At 43.9% G+C, this 22718-nt stretch overlaps 1 protein-coding gene, 1 non-coding gene and 1 pseudogene across 3 annotated transcripts in view, besides 2 other annotated features; all 3 read right to left on the bottom strand.

Annotated features, from left to right (window-relative positions):
* Positions 1–22718, bottom strand: part of NOS1AP (nitric oxide synthase 1 adaptor protein) — a 300785-nt gene that overhangs the window by 9768 nt on the left and 268299 nt on the right. For both annotated transcript variants that reach the window (NM_014697.3, NM_001164757.2), the window contains exons 6-8: positions 16732–16873; positions 5355–5521; positions 3572–3748 (exon numbers count right to left, since the gene is read on the bottom strand). In NM_014697.3, the coding sequence (NP_055512.1) occupies positions 3572–3748; positions 5355–5521; positions 16732–16873 (486 nt within the window). The remainder of the gene's footprint in view (positions 1–3571; positions 3749–5354; positions 5522–16731; positions 16874–22718) is intronic.
* Positions 2739–2961: a silencer, noted in NCBI's record as "fragment chr1:162327537-162327759 (GRCh37/hg19 assembly coordinates)". NCBI's record gives its function as "represses an EF-1alpha promoter that drives an FKBP-Casp9 reporter gene in an ReSE screen in phorbol 12-myristate 13-acetate-treated (for megakaryocytic differentiation) K562 erythroleukemia cells {active_cell/tissue: K562(+PMA)}" and the evidence as "EXISTENCE:reporter gene assay evidence [ECO:0000049][PMID:32094911]".
* Positions 5350–5850: an enhancer, noted in NCBI's record as "H3K27ac hESC enhancer chr1:162324648-162325148 (GRCh37/hg19 assembly coordinates)". NCBI's record gives its function as "activates a minimal SCP1, AML or CMV promoter by ChIP-STARR-seq in primed H9 embryonic stem cells {active_cell/tissue: H9 hESC(primed)}" and the evidence as "EXISTENCE:reporter gene assay evidence [ECO:0000049][PMID:30033119]".
* On the bottom strand, positions 18068–18162 carry MIR556 (microRNA 556). Its single transcript, NR_030283.1, has one exon. It is a non-coding gene; the product is annotated as a microRNA 556 (primary transcript).
* On the bottom strand, positions 21966–22065 carry RNA5SP61 (RNA, 5S ribosomal pseudogene 61; annotated as a pseudogene).

The following is a 22718-nucleotide window of genomic DNA, read 5'->3' as shown; positions in this document are numbered from 1 at the left end:
ATATGCTAAATAGAGGGCCTGGGGTGGGGATGCGGAGTTTTGTTAGCACTGTTCCTCTAACTACAGCATACATGATTGCGAAGCATAAATAACCAATTCCTTGTTCCTGAACAAACAGAAGTGGCAGCAGGTAGAGGAGAAATCTTTAAATAGCAATACTGAACTGTACTAACACTTTCCTCAGGAAAAAGGCTGGGAATTGGCAAACTGTGAATAGACCTGGCCTACTTAACACTTGCCAATCAGCCACAGTGCCCAGATCAGTTCTGAGACTATGTCGGCCCAGCCCATGGCCATGCAGGTGCCAGCTACATCCCAGCTTCGCTTCGAGGCTTAGCTATACTCTCATTCACACCCTTGAACTTCTGGTCCACCTAAAAGCAGGAAGCTAGTGCAGCCAGGCAAGCCTCATGCTGGGTCGGAAGAGCGGTCAGAGGGACTTGGGTATTCACTACTTACCCACTGAGGTCTAACCCGGAAATACTTAAGAGTTGGTTGAATACCACCTTTGCCCATATACCTTTAAGGTCAGGGCGGGCCCCTTTGAGACCAGCTCAGAACCAATTTAGGGTGAGGCTGGGAGAGGTCTTGCGGTCTTAGACCAAATCAGGACACTGTGAAGGAAACCTAAGCCTGGTCCCCATGGCAACAGCAGAACTAGACTAGTCTGTGGGAAGAAATGGGGGTGGTGGGGGGGGGACGACATAAATAGTGCAACAAGTGACATCAAGGGTACACTTGTCTGCAAGAAACTGTCTTTATCCTTAGATTTTTATCCAGGAACAACATAGGAGGATTTGGATGCTCTCCGAGAGAAGGAAACTATTCCCACCTGAAAGGCTGAGGTCATAGTTTTACTCACTGGAATTCTGGGGACTGCTGGTAGTTTAATAAAGACAGACAGAAGCCTTGCAGTTTGGTGGCAATAGAGTCTGACAGAACAAGTAAGAGCTGACCTCGTGCTGGAAACTGAAATCAGCCCCCCCCCGCGTAGAGAAACCAAGCTTGCTATACTTGGTCTATTTCAAATGTGTGAAAGATGCCAAGAAGACCCACCTATTAATCCAGCTACATCTTACGTAATTGTTTTTACCCAAGGATATAGACACTAGTAAAAAAGCCCTTGAATTAAACACTACAAAGAAAGTGGAAGAATGAACAGTGTGCGGAGAAACCTCTAACTGAAGGTCAGTTTAGGACCGAATCCGTCTGCAGGACAGGAGAGCTGAAAGCCAGCTGAAATGTACAATATCCCTGCTGTGGTCCTGGACAGCAAAAGCAAGATGCGAACAGAAAGAAGGTAGTCAGAGACAGATGGGCATGGCAGACAGAGGTACAGGAGTATGTTCAAGAACCTATCAGATGACCCCAACGTCCTATCTGATGATTTTGGAAGCCTAAGACTCTCCCTAAAGTCATCTCACAAATGTGGGACACAGATGCAGTATGGTGGCCTTTTGATCACCACACTGCTTGTATTGAGAGTCAAGCAGGGCAACTATATTCAACAGATTCCAAGTGAGTGAGAGGCTAAGGGTGCTCAGCCTGTGGACATGTGGAACCGAGAGAGGCTCATGAAGCAAATCTCTAATACCACACCCTTTCCTTCCCCTAGATTCATTGTCTTCTAGGAGAGACACAATTAAAACAGGGCCAGGGCAGGATTTCCCATGGAGACTGACAATTGATTCTATACCAGAAAACTACTCTTAAGGTTTCATCCTGACTGTAGTAGACCTGTGATAAGTTACATGTCTTGTTGCTTTGGAGATTGAATGCTTCCTTCCACCGCCACAACACTATTGTGTGGATTACACATTTGCAAATAGTTTCTCTCTAGTACTTAGCAGTGACTTCGAATTCAAATGCCTCCCTGATAAAATCATATCATGAATATGCATCAAGCCCACTCTTAGATAAATAATAATTACTTGGCAATTGATACGCTGCAAAATAAAAGTATTATGTTCTGTATTCAATGGGAAACTTGTGGAAATGAAATGAGTCTGAGAATGGACCCGTGCTGCAGTGCTTAGTCTTTGTGCTCCTGTCAACTGTCACACTAGGGAGGGGATTCTCAGACTGCTGTGCCATCATTAACTACAGGAGATGGATTCTTTTATTTGACAAAGAGAAATGATTTTTTTTCTCCAAATATAAGAAGCCATTAATGACATTCCCCCTCTCTGTTGCTGTTTTGGGAACACCTGCAAATCCTCCTAGCATCACGAGATATCCTTTTGTTTCATGGTAAGACTTTTTAAAAAGACTCCGATAACTTGAGAGCTGTGTCCCATTGACTCTACTCTCCTGAAACCTGGCTGCAAAAGTCATCCATGAGCCTTGCATCTCAGGCCCAGGTCAGGAGAGACCGTGTTACAAGAAGGTCTTCTTCAAACCCTGAGTCATAGCAGATCCTGTTATGGCCAGGACGCCGGATGCCTCCTCAAGGTGGAAAGGTGGAAAGGATATCTCTGGCTGGATGATTCAGTCCACTCAAGAGCCAGGACAAGAGTAAGCAGAAGACATAACAGAGAGCAATAAGTGCTCCCTGGAGAAGTCTGCTCCCCGCCATTCTAGAATGCAGAAAACCTAAGTGGTCAACAGTCTGGTCAAGCAGATTTAGAATGTTGATGCAGGCTGCCTTTCCAGATCCTTTACCAATTCTTCCAAGCCCCAACTGCCCCGTCTCCTAAGATCTTCATGCACTCATCAGGCCCTGACCCTGCCTCTCGCCTCAGGATTCAGCCTTGGGTATGAATGAATGTCTTCACCATTCCCTGAGTGCTGGTGGTAGAGAGGGAGCTCAGACTTCCCAAGAAAGATGTGGACTACAGCGCCCTCTATAGAAAGCAAACAAGAAGAATCCCTGCTGAAAGCAGCAAGGGAAATCAGCTCACCCTCCCCTATAATGTAGCAGCCCCCGAACAAGTTTTTTGGGGTACAAACACCACCTTGATTCTGAGATCTAAGCCAATTCTTTTCATTATGGCTCAAATAATACACCTAAATTCCTGTAAGTTAAATCCTACAATAATGAATTCCAATCAAATACTGCCTGGAATAAGTAGATCGTAATGAAGGCTGGGAAACCTGTTATAGACACGGAGACTGGGATGCTAGGGTAGTAATCTTTTTACAACAGTGTTTGGCACAAATTCATACTTTAAGCTGTTTTAAGAGTGGTATCATAAAGCCACAACTGTTCTGACTCCAAAGGCATCACTTTCCACCCCAAATATCAGGAAAGTAAGGCAGGAAAGGAAGGGTGGAATTGTGTGCATCTTTTCCCTTGGTCAGTTCAAGTCATTAACAACATTCAGCCAAGCCAGCCAAGCCCAGCTCAGAGCAGGGGATACATGGGAAACCAAAATGTGCCTCTCCATTTCAACTGCATCCCCCATCTATCCCCCTCCCGCTGCCCCCACTCCCCAACAAGCAATGATCCAATAGCATGAGCGATTCCTTATGACTCCCTAGATTTTAAACCTGCCCTGAGCCCCTCGCTAGGGAAGGTGCATCAAGCCCATGAGAGTGGAGCCTGCGAAGTAGGGAGGAGGCTGAGGAGAACCTGGGCCACAGCCACTTGTGTCTGCTGCTGCTGCTGCTGGAGGAGCTGCTGGAGGAGCTGCATCTGGTGGTGAGTGGACAGCGGTGTCTCTGTGCCCAGGCCTGGAGGCTTCGAGGAAGAAGAAGGGAGCAGCATCCTGGGTGAGGCTGTCAGCATGGGCTCCTGGGGGTGCGAAACCTGGAGGAGAAGGAGAAGACAGGACATGACATGTGGCAGGAGCCATCTTGAGGGGCCTCCCTCTCTTTGGCATGCACTCAGGAGGAGCAAATTGGCACACTTACAACCCATAAGCTGACAGCACTATATCTTCAATGGAAATGGGAGTAGAGGCCCAGAAAGGAAATGGTGTAGCTGCCTGGGCTGATACCACACAGTCAGAAAATCGTAGGGGGACTAGGGGGACACCTCGGTAACTGACCCCGATGGGAGACTGATGGCTGATACTGCTCCATCTCTTGCCCACCACTTCCAATGATACCCTGTCACTGAGTTCCTTGAGGTTCTAGACTTAGAAGAATCTATTTTAGGAAAACGTAGCTTCCATCCACCCTACCATGATAACAGGAAGGACCCAGCTTCAATCCTCTACTCTGCTGTGTCCTTAGGGCTCCCTCCTCCAGGGTCTGAGATGTTCCTTCTCCCTTGTTGGGAGAAGCGTGGAGCTGGGTCCTGGAGGAAGGGGCCATGTGAGGGGGCTACCTCCTGCCCTCCACTGCCTCTGGTGAGAACCATCGGCAAAGAAGTTTGGATCCTAAAATATATAATGATCTGGAGAGATCCTCTTAGATGAAAGAAGTTCCTGTGTCCTTCCCTCCTTTCCTTCTGTCTCCCTCTCCTGTGGACATTTTTACCAAGATGGCTTCTACGATTCATAGAATTCCATGGCAGGGAAAGACATTTTGTTTCTGGCAGTTCTGCTGTGGGGACTTCTTCAGACATACACAAGGAAGGCCCCCAGTGACACAGGGCTGTTTCCACTTGTAGAGGATAAACTGGTTCCAAAGGAAACGTCAGGCAGCTAGTTTAGAACTGAACTGCCCTCCAAACCTCCATGTGAGATAAGATATGAATGTTAAAGAGAGAGAGGTGCCCTGATATAAACCGCCTGGGAATCTAAGGGTAGAGCTATTGGTCAGTAATTTTGCTTCTGGGTTTAAAACATTTTTAATTAGCTTTGGCTTCAGGTTGGAATTTGATCTCAAGTTCTTAGTTTCTTAATTGGATCACATTAGGAACCCCCAGATGCCACAGTCATCTCACCTATATGATGTTAGGTTAGAGCTGATGAAGACTAAGGTGGTCTCTCAGTTTCTGACATCCAGTGGGCCAACTTCCAGACTCCAAAGTGCTATCCACAGGAATTACCAACGGTATACCACCGCTACTGCAGGCAGAGCGGGCCCAAACTGACTTTGCTCTACTAGCTAAGTCACAGGGGAGTCTGTGTGTGTGTGTGCCAGAGTGAGCCTTGCAAAATACTGTGCAAAGATGAGATGCTGTTAAGGGAAGAGGGTGCCAGGGAGTAGGAGACCAAATATTGGTGGGATTTGGGGAGGGCGATGTGTGTCAGGAATCAGCTCCACAGCATCCTGGCCTGCAGCAGCATCTAGTGTTCAGACCCTCTGGAAGTCAGACCTTCTGAAAGGCAATGAAGTGCGCTCTGGCACCGCCACTGTGCCATGGAGTGCCTCACTCGGAAGCTGAGCTGGCAGGGGCTAGGAAGTGACTGATGACCTGAGGGCACACGTGTGCAGATCACACAGATGGGCCATCTCTTGCCTACCTTGGAGCCTGTGTGAGAGCCTCCTTCCTTCCCTACAGCATCTAGATCAGTCACACCTCGGCTGAATTCCAGGACATCATTCCCTGGAAGTGGGACCTCCACCGCATCGATGTCAGTCTCCTCTGCAGTGGCCGTGGAGGCCCTCTCGGCTCCAGTGAGCTGGCGGCCTGCAGGAACAACAGGGGAGGGAGGGAAGAGAATGAAAACACCGAGAACAAAGTCCTCCTTTCCTAATACTTTAGCTTTCAGGCATGTTGAGCCTAGGGATGCCACTGGCTTTGTAACATTTTCACACATCTTTTCACTCAAGTACGTTAAAGTGCATTTCCAGCCCAGTAAGATGTTCTCATCTTAGTATCTTTTCAAAGTCCAGAAAAAAAGGCAATACTTCCTCAAGCCTGGATGTAAAAGTTTTGCCAGGTTCACAGGAATATATTGACAAGGTACACTGGAAGAAGGGGATGCTGATCATCTCCATGTCATCGCAGCTCAGGAACGGAAGCAGTCAAGGGAAAGGGCCCTGGCCCGGGGGTCCAGAAATGAGGAGGTTGGGCCTCCAATAAACTGCTGGACAAGAAGCAAATCCCCTCACTCTCTGGGCCATGTTTCTTTAACTACAGAATTAGAAGCTCAGTTAGATGGACAGGTAGGGTTCCATGACTGAGGAATAAGGCAGGGAGATGTGAGGCTGCATTTTAACACAGTATCAATCTCCCAGCCCTCAGAGCCTGATCCTCTCACCAACAGCAGAAGCCAGGAAGACGCCTGCAGGAAGTGGCACGGGGAGGAGGAGAGAGATGGGGTGGCTGCTTTTCCATGCTTCCTTATCTAATTTTTCTACTTCCCACATTTCTTCCTTTCCACTGAAGACAATGGCCATGTCTTTACTTAATATTTAACCACAGGCACAGCATACTGCTTAATACCAATGTATGAAAGCCCTGCTATTTCCTACTTATCTTCCTTCCTTGATCCTATTTCTGGGATTCTGTAAAAACATCTGACAACTCCTGGGCATTTCATAGGAAATATTTTCATTTTCTATATTTGCAATTAGGTTAATTACTGCCGTCTTTAAATAAGATTTCTCATGAGTTTTCAGAGACCACGCACCAATTATAAAATGGAACAGGTGGATGTAAAGCAGGAGACACAGAGCTGATGCCCCAGTGCTGAAGCTAGCCCAGGCAACCAGGCCTTGGCCATTTGAGTGCTTGCCTTGTAGAACAAATTGTTCTAAGAAGTTTTCCTATGCAAACCTACACAAGTCATCAAGGGAAACAAGCCTGGCATTTAGAAAGTAAACAGTGGGCTTGGTTTTCTTCCTGGCTACTCCAGGAGCTGAGGAGACAGTCCTGTGGAGGGCTGCAAAGGCGTTTAACAGAAAAGATGGTTCTGACTGCAGCTAGTGGGGGCAGGGAAGGGGAAGCTCTTCTGCCCCTTGGTCAGCCAGTAGGCGGGGAGCACAGGGAGCAGCCTGCTTTCTACCACAGCCTGCACCTGGAAGTGACCGTCTTGATGGCTGGGTGCTTAGCCTGAGAGATGGAGGGTCGGTAGGTGGGTGGTGCTGGGAACTAAGCGTTTGGTTCTCCATGCCTGTACAGGAAAAAGCAGGGTGAAATTTCTATCAGTGATCAGGAGAAGCTGGGCTACTGCAGTGTTCTGTGCACTTAGCACATGATATTGGATGTGCCTGGCCATCAGTCTTCCCTTACAGACTTGAGGCCAGGCTGTGTCTCATTCATGTTTCCTAAAAATGTTTCTCTGGCACAGAGAAAGTGTTCCATAAATACTGACAAAGTAAGTAATGTAGTGACAGGGTAGCAAAACAGGAGAACAGGCTGCAGGAGAAGGCTGCTTATCTACTTCCCATCCCTGGAGATCCTAATAACAAGAACTAAGAAGCCCCAGACACAGAGGGTTTGGACAGGGCCTCGCCAGAAGCCCAGGTGGAATCAGAAAATTTGTCAGGTTTGGCCGGGCGCGGGGGCAGGGGCAGAGAGGCACAGAGGCAGGAAGTCCACGGCATGTCAGGCAATGCAAGTGGTCCCGTAGGGAGGGACCTGACCAGGACGAGTCAGCATTTTATCTTGAGGGACTGAAAGCAAGTAATACCAAAACATTTTCATCCTTCAAAATTTCACTCTAGATATAGTATGGAGGATAGATCCAGCAGCAATGAGAGAAAGTGATACTCTAGGTGGAAAATATGAGGGCTTGAGTGAAGACAATGGCAATAACATGGAGAAGAGATGGATTCGAAGGATCGTCAGGGGGCAGAAAGCACAGGGTTTGCTTGTCTGTGGTGGGGGCGGGGGTGGGGATATGTGCAGGATGAGTCTTAAAATATCTGATTCAGGTGACTGAATGGAGAATGGCATCCTATAGGAAAAATCCAGGAGAAGCAGGATTGCAGGTAAGAAGATGAGTTCAGTTTTAAACCTGTTGACATTGTAAGAGTCTGTGTAACAGTCAAGTAGGGATACCTATTAGGCTGTTGGGTATGTTATGGACTGAATGTTGGTGTTCATATGTCGAAGCCTTAGCTCCCAATGTAATAGCACTTGGAGATGAGCTTTTGGGAGGTAATTAGATCATGAGAATGCAGTCCTCATGATGGGATTCATGCCCTTATAAGAAGCGATGTAGGAGATCCCTCTCTTTCCACCCTGTGAGGACACAGCAAAAAGGCAGCTGTTTGCGAACCAGAAGAGAGTTCTCACCAGGAACCAAATTGGCTGGCACCTTAATCTTGGACTTCTCAGCCTCCAAAACTGTCAGAAATAAATGTTGTTTAAGCCATCCAATCTACTGCATTTTATTATGGCAGGCTGTGTAGATTACTATAGTGCATGAATGGAAAGTTCAGGAAAAAGGCCTGGCCTAAAGATAAACTTTAGTTGAAATCATGGAATGTCAGAAAAAAAAAAAAATACCAGGGGCAAGTCCAGGAGAAATTCCAACACTTAAGGGGTAGGTAGAAGAGGAGCCTGCAGGCCAGGCGCGGTGGCTCACGCCTATAATTCCAGCACTTTGGGAGGCCGGGGTGGGTGGGTCACCTGAGCTCAGGAGTTTGGGACAAGCCTGGCCAACATGGTGAAACCCCATCTCTACTAAAATACAAAAATTAGCTGGGCATGGTGGTACATGCCTGTAATCCCAGCTGCTTGGGAGGCTGAAACAGGAGAATTGCGTGAACCCAGGAGGCGGAGGTTGCAGTCAGCTGAGATCATGCCACTGCACTCCAGCCTGGGCAATAGAGTGAGATTCTGTCTTGAGAAAAAAAAAAAGAGGACGAAGAAGCAGAGCCTACAAAGCATGCTGAAAAGCAGCTAGCAGAGTCAAGAGGGAAGGAGTGTGGGGTGCCCCAGAAGCTGCAAAGGTGCACTTCATTCCCGGGGCTGAGCACTACAGAGAAAGGTGGCCCTTAGGAACCCCTGCCTGGTAACTTCAGGAAGGGCTGGCAGGGCAGCAGACACCAGATTACTGGAGGTTGAAAAGATATCAAGAGTGGACAGAAAGACTGGGAGAAAATAAGAAAATAGACAGTGAGTACAGACAAGCTGTGCAAGAAGCCTGGCTACCAAGGAAAGGAGAGAGGTAAGGTCGTAGGTCGGGGGGAGACATAGGGACAAGGAAGGCTTAATTTTGCTCAGCTTTTAAGATAAGAAAGACCCGACCTTATCTATCTGCAGTTGGGCGAGGAAGGGCAAGTCAGCAATAGCAGATAATTTGGGTGAAGATTCAGGAGCATGAGATAACCAGTTGCTCAAAGTTCCAGAGGAGGCGAGATGGAGGTGGAATGCAGAGGCAGGTGACAGGAGAAGGTCACTGTCCACTGAGACAGAAGGGGGGGACAAGCAGGGCTGCTGAATGGTGAAGTAGCCCTGGCTGAGCTTGGGGATCACAAATGTGTAATCGGTCTGTGGGTGGCAGTTTTCTCCAGTGCTGTTCAGTGTCATAGGGCAAAAATGAAAAAATACTCCTGAGTTAATGTAGAATTGGGGTTTAGCCAGATTGGTACAGTCAAATGAGCAAGGAGTTACAAGCTCAGTCTCAAAGTGCTTGAAATGGCCACTTTTTGCCTTGAAACTGCAACAATAACAGCTTAAACTTAAACAGCACTTAGTATGCTTCAGGCACTGCACTAGTTTTATGTGTATGGGCTGAGTATCTCTATCTGAAATGCTTAGGACTACAGGTGTTTCAGATGTTAGAGTTGCCTATTTGCATATATATGAGATATCTTAGAGATGGGACCCATGTGTAAACATGAAATCCATTTATGTTTCATGTGTACCTTATATAGCCAAAGGTAATTTTACATAATTTTGTGCATGAAACAACATTTGTGTACATGAAACCATCAGAAAGCAAAGGTATCAAGAGTGGAATTTTCCACTTGCGGTGTCATGTCGGTGCTCAAAAAGTTACCGATCTTGGAGCATTTCAGATTTTGGATTTTCAGATTAAGGATGCTCAACCTGTATTAACTGATTTATCATCATAACTAAGAGGTAGTTACCAGGAATTGCGGGGAAGGGAGAGATGTAGGTCAAAGGATACAAAGTTGCAGGTATGTAGGATGAATAAGGCCAGAACTCTAATGTACGACACGAGGATTCTAGTTAATAATATCATATTCACAATCTTTGCTAAGAGAGTAGATGTTAGGTGCTTTTCTCACATTAAATAAAAAAAGTTTTATTTTCAAAAAAGGTCTATTTTGCCAAAAGGCTCCAAGCCCTTTCCCATGTTGGACTGTCTGCAGCTGGGGGAGGAGGGTCACCTCCAGGGGAACAGGGTCTCACCCAGGAAACCCTCTCCAGAAGGAGTCAGAGAAGCAGTATAGGGCACAACAGGGCAAGTGCCACAGGGGCAGTGGCTCCACCTGGCTTGGAGTCCCAGGGATGGCCAAGGGCAGCTGCTGCCAAATGATACAAAAGACAAAACTCCCCCAGGGAGGGAACAGTAGTAAGAACAGGGAAGAAAGAAAGACAGGCACAAAGAGGGAGAGAGGGAAGAGGCACACAATGAAAGTGAGCAACATCATTGAAAGCACTGCTGAAAACGATGAAAAGACATGACAAGACAGCACTTTCCAGCTCCTCAGAGTAAACATGTTTTTTCTGCACAACGGAGGGCCTGCTGACGTGTCAGGTGGGGCAGCTCCACTGGAAAGATAAACATTGCACTAAATGAAAAGCTCCCAAACATGAAGGTGAGATTCTCGTAAAAAAAACAACAGCCAACAGTTCAACTCTGGGCGCTCAAGGTGTGCCATTAGGCAACAATCTTAGTAGAGTCAAAAATGCTCTGGGAGAAGCATTTACAGTAAGAAGAAACACATTCCTAGCAGTTTATAGACAGTGAAAACGTGTGTGGGGCTGTAAAAAGGAAGTGACTAATGGGCTAGGCAGTAAACAGCCTTCCTTGATAAGAAAACATTTCCAATCCCAGAACCAAATGCTAATTCCAAATGCTCAGACTCAAAGTATGGTTTAGCTTCATGGCCTCGGCACTACACAATAACCAGAGGGCGTCCAGTTAATCATTTCACTTGGACCCGTCATAAAATCAGTACTGGAGAGGCCTTGTCTAGCTCCCTCACTGTACAGATGAGGTCATGTATTCTGGAGTCTGCATTGGAAAACTTAATAAACAGTGGGTACTTATAACATTAGAAAACTCGATAAACAGTGGGTACTTACGGAGAGCATATTATATGCTAGGCATTATGCTGCTTTACATACATTCTCTCACAATACCAGAGAGATGAGAAAACGAAGCTCCAGAGAGAGCATGAAATTTGCCAAGGATTAGCCAGCTGAAAGGTGGTAGAGTCAGGATTCAAGTCCCAGTGGTTCCAGTGCTGGAACCCAAACCCTCAGTGGCTCCTCTAGCCCATGGCTCCAACTCTCTCTCCATCATGCCATTCTGTCTCTTCATTTCTGTGGTTGTTAATTTTATGTGTCAACTGGGCTAGGCCACTACCATACCAAGGTATTTGGTCAAACATTATTCTAGATGTTGCTGTGAAGGTATTTTTTTAAGTGAGATTAACATTTAAATCAGTAGACTCTGAGCCAAGCCGATTACTCCCCCATAAGGTGGGAAGACCTCATCCAATCAGTTGAAGGTCTTTTTTTTTTTTTCCCCTTTTTTGGAGTTGGAGTTTCGCTCTTGTTGCCCAGGCTGGAGTGTAATGGTGCGATCTCGGCTCACCACAACCTCCACCTCCCGGGTTCAAGCAATTCTCCTACCTCAGCCTCCCCAGTAGCTGGGATTACAGGCATGCGCCACCACACCCAGCTAATTTTTTGTATTTTTAGTAGAGATGGGGTTTCTTCATGTTGGTCAGGCTGGTCTTGAACTCCCGACCTCAGGTGATCTGCCCGCCTTGGCCTCCCAAAGTGCTGGGATTACAGGCATGAGCCACTGCGCCCGGCAAAGTTGAAGGTCTTAATAGAGCAAAGGCCGACCTACCTGGAGGAAGAGAGAATTCTGCCATATAGGCCCATGAGCCATCTCTGTCTTTCTCTTTCTTTATATGTCCCTAACACAATTTCCATCACCCCACAGGTCCTCTCCTCACCTACACGAGCAGGGGAGAGCCCTTGCTGCCTCCCTTTATATTATTTAACATATCCAGCCCATGCTTGATCTCCTTGCAGAGACTCAGTGCTCTGTTGGACATCTTAAACCTTGAAGAAACTATCCTGGGCCTGATGGGCTTTTTTAGAATGGACCCAGGCGTTTCTTCACATAGAATATCAATTCCATTTTTCTTAGGAAGAGTGGTATACGGAAGCCAAGCAGCTGAGGTCTCACGTATAGTAATGTGATTTGGGAAAACTATCTCCAAAAAGGTAATATAAATGAGAGAGAAACATAGCTGGTATGCCTGTTATTTCCAAGCTGACCATCTGTTACAATCAAGGAGTGTGACCACACTGGCCTCTATTTGTACTCATGGTCACTGTCACCACCTTCTCATCAATACTCTGCTCAGCCTCCCAGTCTCACCTCATTTCTACCTGCTCCCCTGACACCAAGTGTCATCATTCCTCATCAAAAGGGGCTGCTTAAAAGTTGAAATCTCTACTTAATCTCTGTTCATTTTGGCATACAGTAAGCATTTAACAAACACTTGTTGACAATGACTAAAACATATGTACTCCTTGCCACACTCACTGGCTCTGTTTGTCAGTTTATTCAACAAGTCTTTACTGTGCTAGGAAGTCCCTACCCTCCCAGAGCTCACACTCCACTAAAGACAGAGGACGCTATGCTATATGTCTGGTACACAGTGGACTAAATGTTAATGTTAACGGCATCAGCCAGGAGTGAAGAAAACACAGGAACCCAGAAAAAAAGGGTTTAAATTTTCTGAACGAGAGTGGGAGCTGAAAGTCAGGCTTCCCAGAAGACAGTGCTGGGCTTGAAGGATGAGTAAGATGTCTGCATGGAGGTGAAGGCAGGGACCCATGGCAGAGGGAACGGCGTTGACTGTGGCTGAAAAGTCCATGATACTTACTATATGTTCAGGGCAGGAAGGAGCTCAGGGAACATGGGAGGAGTGAGGGAAGTAGTACTGAAAGAAAAGTATAGGAAGTGATCCTTATGGAATCCCCACTGAGTCCCCAGGGAATCGTGAATCACATCAAACCCACTCCACCCAGCAGACCACTGCAGGGGCCAGAAGTGCAAGGAGAGAGCAGCTCCCACTGCAAAAGGGAAATAAGATCTAGCCCTTGGTGTTGTTTACATAAAATGCTATCCAGGTGGTTCTCTCCACCTGGCCAGACCATATAACTCTGACCTCTGTGGCCAGCAGCTGAGTGACAGGTTCTGATTAAGTACTTGGAGATTAGATTAAATTCCTCCGATGGTTGTTCTGTGATAATAACAGTGTTCAAACATTCAACCTCTGGGCATCCTCTCTGCGTCCAACCGCTTTCACTCCAGGAATAGGTGTCTTCACCAGAGAAAATATCCTTTACTTTCTGGTTAAACTTTCTTTGTACATGTGTATACTGGCTGCCAATGTGACTGTGGGTTTAAAAGCTTCTGAGAGTTAGGATGTGGCTCTCTGCCAATCAGGCCACCAACGGGGCATGGGCATGACCAAAGAAGAGTTAACAATGTAAGACTTCAATCTTCTCCAGCTAGCAGTTCTTACGGCAAATCCTCCAATTCAGAAATGAGCAGATTGGTTTCTGTTCTTTGAGCCAAGCAACCAGCTAGAGGTCTGATGTGTCCTCCATATTAGTTATAGGAAACTGTCACCATTACGCTCTAAAAATTGACCAGCAGAGATATATAAAATATTCGCCAAAGTCTATCTATCTCTCTGTTTTATCTCTAAGCCCTAGATCACAGAGATGGAAAAATGTTAAGGTTTACATCACATTAGTACTACGGCCTGCTAAAACTGAGACTGGCCAAGGGTACATGACCAAATGCAAGGCTCCGTCTGTGTGATAATATTTTATGAGTCAAGATCACTGAGATGCTGTCATTAGTAATAGAATGTCACTACTTAATAGAAATGAGTAAGCCAAAAGAGAAGTAAAGTAATTCCCTCTAGTCACATAGAAACTGAGCACTAGGATGAAAATAATGTCAGGTTTTCAAGATTTATAACTAATATATATCCAAAGTATAAAGGCCATAAAAGTACAGTGAAAAGTCAATCTTCCTGCCACCTCAGCCACCCAGTTCCTTTTCCCAGGATGAACCACAGTTACCAGTTTCTTGTGTACTATTCTGGAGATATTCCATGCATAAGAAATGTGTGTGTGTGCATGCATGTGTATACATATATACCTACATATACACACACATTTAAATCTATACATTTTTAATACAATTGGTAGTACCTCATACCCACAATTCTATTTTTTTCCTTTATTCACAATTCTAAACTTTGACTTTTTTAAGTAAGCAAAATATCTTGAAGATGGCTTTAAATCAGTTCATAGAGAACTAACTTATTCTTCTTAATAGTTGTGCAGTATTCCATTATTTGTACCATATTGTATTGTAATTTATTTAAAAGTTCCCTCTTGCTGTTTCTGATCCTTTGGTTCTATAACAAATTCTTTGCTATGTAACCTTATATAGAAATCATTTCACACCTTTATGGGTTTACCTTTAGGATTCATTCTTAGAAGGGAATTTGAAGGAAATTTGGGGGTCAAAAGGCATATGAATTTTCAAATTCAATAAAGATTTCCACATTTTTCTCCATAGGGATTCCCTCTCTATCATACACTAAATTTGCAAACACATCTGGGTTTGTATATGAGTTTCCATTCTGATCCGCTCAGGCACTTATTTGAACATGAGTTTTACCTATTATAAGCACAGTTTTACTGGAAAGCCACTCCTCCTCTGCTATCATTCATCTTTTCCAGGATTTTTTCTATTCTTGTTTTTTTAAATTTTCACATATTTACTTAAAAATAATAGCATACATGTATGTGGTGCATACTCTGTGCCAAGCACCAGGCTCAGCATTTTAAAAGTATCAGTTTATCTAATTACGACAATAATTCTGAAGTGCACAGTACTACTATTTCTGTTTTTCAGAAGAGTAAACTAAAGCACAGAGAGGTTATGGAACTTGCCCAAGATCACACAGGCAGTGACTGGTGCAGCTACAATGCAAAGCAAAGGTCTTCTCTCTGAGCCACTTTGCAATGCTGCCATTTGCAGACTAGCATTTCTTTTGTTGTTTTTTAACTTTTTGAGTGGGATGCTTAATTCATTTGACTTTCATGATTTGTCATCTGTTAACGTAAATAACTAAACCTTTGAATTTTCCTCTGAGTGCTGCTTTAGCTATATCCCATGAGTTTTGAATACTGTAGCTTACTGTGGTACCTCTTTTGCTGTTAGAAATCATCATTCTCAGTAAACTATCGCAAGAACAAAAAACCAAACACCGCATATTCTCACTCATAGGTGGGAATTGAACAATGAGATCACATGGACACAGGAAGGGGAACATCACACTCTGGGGACTGTTGTGGGGTGGGGGGAGGGGGGAGGGATAGCTTTGGGAGATATACCTAATGCTAGATGATGAGTTAGTGGGTGCAGCGCACCAGCACGGCACATGTATACATATGTAACTAACCTGCACAATGTGCACATGTACCCTAAAACTTAAAGTATAATAATAAAAGAAAAAAAGAAAAGAAATCTGTATTGTCATGTTAAATTTATAGATAAACAAAGAGAGAATTAACATTTTTATGATGTTGAGCTTTCCCATCCAAGAATATGGCATGCCTTTCCATTTGTTTAAGATTTTTTCGTAGGTAACAAACACATTTTTATTGTGATTATTCATAAGTATCTTTTTTTTTAATTGTTATTTTAATGGATTTTTTTCCTCCACTATGACTTCTAACCAGCTGTTCTTGGAATATATGAAAATCACAAATATAGCTGTATGTGTTATTGAACTTTGACTTTCTAGCTGAATTCTCTTATTATTTCTAATAGTTCTCAGTTTATTTTCTTGGGTTTCCCATGTTAAAAATTAACATAAACAATATTTTTTTTATCTGCTCTTTTTCTTGCCCATACTTCATTTTTTCACATTTATTGTCTCCTTCCTGACTTTTTTTTTTTTGAGGCAGCCTAGCTCTGTAGCCCAAGCTGGAGTGCGGTGGCACAATCTTGGCTCACTGCAACTTCCGCCTCCTGAGTTGAAGCAATTCTCCTGCCTCAGCCTTCCAAGTAGCTGGGACTATAGGCGTGTACCACCACGCCTGGCTAATTTTTGTATTTTTAGTAGAAAATACAGGCAACATGGCAGGGATTTGCCATGTTGGCCAGGCTAGTCTTGAACTCCTGGGCTCAAGTGATCTGCTCATCTCAGCCTCCCAAAGTGCTAGGATTAACAGACTTGAGACACTGCGCCCGGCCTCCTTCCTGACTTTTAATGAGGCTTGAAAGTTGGGGATATTAAAATACTATCCATATTGAGGGCTTATAGAACTACAGAAGTTAGAAATTTAATAAAACAAACTAGGTAATTATAAATTTATGTTCTTTCTAATTTGTTTTATGGGGGTGCTTTTTTACTGAAAACTTCTTTGAAGTCAGATTTGGTAGTATAGCAGCTCTACCTCTCCCTGATATCCAGTTTAAATACTTCCTCATTTAATAATTTAAACATCTTTAATTTCTGTTATAAAAGTAATACGTGTTCCTTAAAGAGAATCTAGAATTTAGAGAGAAACGGAAAAAATAAAATGTTTCTTAAAATGAGTTCACAGCCTGGGGGTCAGGGCAGTGATCCACCAGAGCCTACTGTGTGCACTGCCTTCCCACCCACATCCACAGAAGCCGCAGTGCCTACCTGGGTCTCCTGAGCTGTTGCTGTTCCTCTCGCTCTCTCCATCTTCCTGGCCATCTGCATTCTGCTGCGTGTGCTGCAGGCTCAGCTTGTGGCAGACCTCAAAGGCCTGCCCCACCGTCCGAACGATTCTCATAGCTTGGCTCTGGGAAGGAGAAAGGAGAAGAACAGGATGGGTGAGGATGCGCAAGGGGCATGTGGATAGAAACTCATGAAGCAGCCAAAGAAAGAGACAGAAAAATCTAAAGTTGTTCAGATATGCACATACAAATGAGTGCAAAGACATTTCCCCTTTCTGAAATACTCCAGAAAACAGAAACTGTCACCACAGTGCTGAAACAATCAGTCAACTGAAAGGACAGATAGCAAATATGCCAGTTATGGACTTAGCCCCAATTCTTCCCTCCCATGTGTAACAGAAGTAGTCAATATGCTTCAGAATCTTTTGCCAGCCATGATAAAATGTTCAATGGGTCCATCAAACTAAGAGGAACTCGGCTATCATTTTTTTCTTTTTTGAATGCTGCTGCAAATGTTGAGTTTCCCTGGAGCTCCTGCAGACCAAGGGCAGTGGTAACATGAGGCTTGGAAGCCATGGCCTAAACAGCAGAAACCAATGGAAGCTCAGCACCCAGCTCCTCTGGAACACCACTAGTTGGCAGCCAACTAAATCTAAGGTGACACTTTCCCAGACTTACTCCAAAGACCTCACGTTCTTGGGTCTATTCTGTGGCTCCTTCCTTTCTTTTGTTTTGGTATTTAATCTCTTGCTTTAAGAGCCCAAGAAGAGAACTTGACCCTAGTTCCCAGTATTCCACCATTTAACTAGGAGAAGAGAGAGAGGACAAAGAAGCCTGCTCCTATGTAGAGTCTTAGGCCACCCATGCAGGCTGTGAGGAAGAGCCACATGCAGGGGTTCCAGGGCATGGCCTCAAAGGTGGATAACTGATTATGGTTTGAAGATGTCAGCTTTTGCTTTCTTTCAAGGACAGAAATGAGTGATGTGGTTTATTTAGAGTTTCAGAGCTCAGGCTGGGAAGGGCTCAGCACACTGCTTCTCTTACCTCAGTGGGCCTCAAGCATCCCACCACCATGGGCTACAATTTAATCTAATTGTGATTGTCACCCTATACTCAAGTCTAACATTCATCGTGTTTTGGATGATCTGACTTCAGGTCAGCCATGGCCACCTGTTGACACCATATAGTCCATCAATCACATCCACCTCCCACCCACCCCAGGTAATGGCAGCAATCAAGTAGGGCTTTTCATCAGCATGAGGTAGCTGGTATTACATTACCTAACTGATATCCAGTGTTTTGATAAGTCTAGAAGGCCTTGTTGAAGGTAGTAATAAAAAAGATGAGCTAATGGTAATATGAAATGTATAAATGAAGCTCATATTACAATGAGCTCATCTTTCTTATTACTATCTTTGTGAACTCCTAGGGACCTTGGAACCCTGTGCATGGAACAACTGCTGTAGTCCATTCTCTGCTGGGTATAACTTCTAGAATTGCTTCTCCTCAAGCCTGGAGTCATTTCTATGTTCCTTCTGCTTATTTCAGGCCAGAGCATCCATATTAATGTGAAAGGCATCTTGACTAATTATCATCTACATGTCAATTTGAGATCTCAGTCAACTCTACTGCTCCCTATATTCTTCAGTTCAAATCTACTCCTAGAAGTAATTGTTTTACAGCTCTAACCTTTCTTAGCCATTAGACTAACTCCAGAGATATTCTCCATTGGTCTCTCACCTGAAATATCCTGACACTTCTGGGAGATAAGAACCTTAAGCGAAGCAGGAGGAGATGGGTAACTTCTGTGGGGTCCACCATCACCCAGTGGCGAATCAGAACCTCTGTTTTCTACATCTACCCTTAATTTCCTCCTGTGTCCACAGGGCAGGCTTAGGCCCCTTCTCATACCATAGGCTTGCAGTGTGTAAGACATGACTGTTCTATCTGCACAGGAAGTTGAGAAGCAGTAGGCATCAGTCCTAAGCAAGAAGCCCCTACACTTCCCACTCCCAAAACACACAAAAAGGCGTGATTTAGAAGACACAGTCCCTAACAAATGTGGGCTAGGAACACTCCAGCTTTCTACATTTCCTTTAGCCACCAAGCTGTGCTGTGCTTAGGAGGCTGTGCCAGGAAGCTTAACTCTCAGGTGAAAAGGGAGAAGTAAAGGCTCCTACATCCGAAACTGTTATTCCCCTAGGCCTTGAGATTTTTTGGTTCCTATTCCTTTTATGAGAGTAAGAGCAGACTGCCTATGGTTAATCGTCTACGGCAAAGCTCGTTACTAGTTTACTAAACCTTAGGTATGACTTTATTCTGCCTACCACTGTCCTACCAGTGTCCACTATACAGAAACCTTCCTCTACTTTCTTCTCTGACTCTTGGGAATTTTGCTCCCCCAGGTATCTTTACAAAAGGTAAAAAAGGTAAATGTTTTAGGTTGTAACAATAAAATATGGTAAGTCCAAATGATATGTAGAGATTAAGTGTTTAATTCCATTACTTTCTTCTCTTACATGAATTAACCCAGATATCTCATACTGAATAAATATCTGCAAAGACTGAGTTAGTCTTTTCCCGTCGGTTTCATTCCCAGGGTACAGATTAAAATACAGTTCCCCCTTTAAAATACAGTTATATAGAAAATTCTAAATTCACTACTGAGTTTGTTCCTATAACATCTCAGGTTTTCCTAAGGAGGACGTGTTACAAATTCCATCATCTCTGTAAATCACAGATACTTCCTTTAACCAGCTTTTAAGATGATATTAAAAATTTAAAGATCCTCAAACAAATGTCCCTGATCTATGGGATTAGACAGGGGTAGGAATCGAATTTCTAAATTTATCTTTGGAAGGAATCCCTCAGATTTAAATAAGAGGATAAAGGTGGTGGGAGAATGACTTCACAGAGGACCTGTATTTCTCAGGCATCACAAGATGACAATGGATGATGGGCTATGCTCAGAACTGAGCATCTTAAGAATATAGACTCCAGCTCAAATCTCTATTCTGCCACCTTTATCAAGGACAAACATGTGCAACATACTCACATATTCAACCATCTATAAGCCCAAAGTGGCTGTAAGGAAGTAGGCTGGTTTTAATGGTTAATATTGATAACACTTCATTTTCACATTTTACTAGTATTTTTTACTAGGATCAGCAGCTGACCCTAACCTCTACCTGATTCCCCTGAAAAAGTAGGAAATGCAGACTTTAGGTTTACTGGTTCTGCCTTCCCCATGCTGGAAAGGGCATCCCATCCTTCAGCCTCCCATTTCCTTCCTATCCTCCCTCCACCCGTTGTTCTCTACGGTATTTCTGTAACTGCACTGAAAAACTGAATATATGATAGCACCTACCACAGTGCCTGGCATATAGTAAATGCTCAAGAAATGTTTTATCCTGACTATGGAATTCACTGCACCAAGAGGCAATTAAGACAGAAAAGAAAAAGCAGTGCAGGAAAGGTGGAACAATTTTTATCATAGTAGAAACATAAAGCGACTAAGGGAATCACCTCTTACTTATGTATGCTAACATCCAAAAGGCTGTGCATCAGATAGCATAGCCTCCACCATAGCAGCACAGGAAAATTCCTGAGCCAAATGGATCTTTGGTCTGAGCTAGTATGATAGTTTCTACATGTGAGGAAATTGTTGCATTAAGAGTTCTAGATCTGCATACTGAGTGGTAAACAGTTTAATAATTAAATTAATAAATTAAATGGTTTAATTTATCCTTTATTTTACTCCTTTAATGTGAAGGTTATATTTCTATTCACAGTAAAAGGACACTGTAGCATGTTTCATAAAGAGCCCTCTGCACTGGAACACATAATCAAGCTACTCTAACTGTTTCACAGAATGACTACATACATACACATAAAAGAATTGCCCTTCCTATCTACCACTCAGGGAGTCAGAAGGGGCTAAACAGCTCCTCACTGTACTCATAAATGGCTATGTGAGTTCTGATGTCCCTTGACCTTTTAGGCTCTCCTTGCTTCACCATTAAAAAGTCTACTTTTAGAGGATTCTATATGGGGACCTCGTTAGGGAGGTGATTACTTAAAGGTGGTCAGTAGAGGCAGCCTGTGCCTGGGAGGGGCTGTGTCTTCACCATCTGCTTTCTGCACAGCCATGCTGGCTCCTGCCTGCTAGGCCTACCCCACTTAGTTACCCCACCTTCTGGCCTGCAGGGCAAGAAAACTGGTTCTGCCTTCAACCCCAAAATGCAAGAATCACACACGCTGGGATTTTATCATTAATTAGCCATGTCTGCACCCAAGAGGGAGAACTCTGGTAAATAGCAGCTTTAAAAAGTCCCTTCCAGAAGTTTTTATGAATGCTTGTCTGTGGGTCTTCTAGATCACAGTGAAGCAGTTGCTCCCACCTCATGACGACATACAGGCCTTTGGAGACTAAAGCAGAGGTTTAAAGATTGAAGGCAGTGAGGTACAAAGGGTAAACAAGTGGAACCTTGAGAAAGCAGCCTTTTTGAGTTCCAAAATCTGGCCATTCTCTGGAATTTACTAGATTTTTTTTTTTTTTAAAAAAAGCATCATTATACTGCATTATTTCTGTACAAATCCAGTTTAGTTTTACATAAGCCCATAAAAGTGCTTTGCCACACGGATCAAATCTTCTCGTCCAAAAGCCATTTTCTATTAGCAGCCCAAAAGCATTTGTGGGCTCTTCATTGTCAAGATTAGGCTGGATATGGTTGCTTTGATATTTTCAAAGCTGGAAAGGGATCTCTAACCTCAGAGTGGCTCTTAGCTCCAGATGGAGAGCCTGCTCATGGGAGTGTCAACTACAGGCAATTTTGTGAAAATACAGCTGGAAAGGGAGCTTAAAACTGTATACACTTACCTTATACACACAGCAATGTTTCTTCAAACCACCCATCTTTTCACGCTGACACAGCTCCTTCTCCCACAACCCTAGGACATCCCTCAAGCCAGAACCAAAGTTAAGTCCAAATGCAATGAACAGCTGTTCTCCTCAGCACACCTAATGTGGGTATCAACTTCATACCTAGCAGGAGTCAACATTTGATGAACTGCGGCAATGGTCATGAAAATAACACTATATTCACAATCACTGTGGGTTGTACACCCGAAAGCAAACAAAAGCCGACAGTGGTAGCTTTAGGAAGACATAAATCAAAAGGTTGATTCCTGTACCTCACTGGCCCATAGAAAAATTATAGTCAATCATGATTTTATTTTCTCCCATCAAAGTACACACCAGACCCCACCCTGCTTAGCTAATGAGATCAGACACATTCAAGGTGGTATGGCCATAGACCATGATTTTATTTTCTATTCTCTTTCTTAACGACTTTGTAGTTGGTTGGTCCTATAAAATTTGGGAATCTTTAAGTGCCATATGCATGTAAAGAATGGTTCTTATTAGTCATATTCTATAGCTGATTTGATAAATAATTTTGGGCACTGTTCTGAATTTCACTGTCCTGGAAGAAGCTCTCTCTTTACTTTACAACTTACAAAGAGGATTAAGAGTCACCAGATAAGCAAGTAGAGAGTATAAGTACAAAATACCAGATGAAGATGATGATGACAATGACAATAATAAGAGGAGAAAAGAGAATAATGGGGGCACACATCTTTCAAGTAAGGTTCTTTAATGGTCTACCAGCTCTCTAGTTTACTATTCCCCTGTCCCCTCCTCCACTCCCCCTCTCCCCCATCTCTTTTGGGTACTCAAATTTGACTGACAAGTGGTTCTGAATTTTAGAGAACTGAAGTCCATGAGGTCAGCTGTGGGACAGCTCACAGATTTATAATTCTTATCTATCACAGCAATACAAGATAATGTCCTTGTCTTGACCTTAACTGCCACAGAATCTCAACAAAAACAGAACTGAATGTCATGTTTCTTTAATGTATTTTTTTGGGTTGGGGGGAATCTTAGTAAAAGATTCAGCTTATATCTATCAA

This window comes from Homo sapiens, chromosome 1 (genome assembly GCF_000001405.40).
Source record: "Homo sapiens chromosome 1, GRCh38.p14 Primary Assembly".
Lineage (NCBI taxonomy): Eukaryota > Metazoa > Chordata > Mammalia > Primates > Hominidae > Homo > Homo sapiens.
Note: the sequence above shows the minus strand (reverse complement) of the source record. Positions and strands in the feature narration are given on the sequence as shown.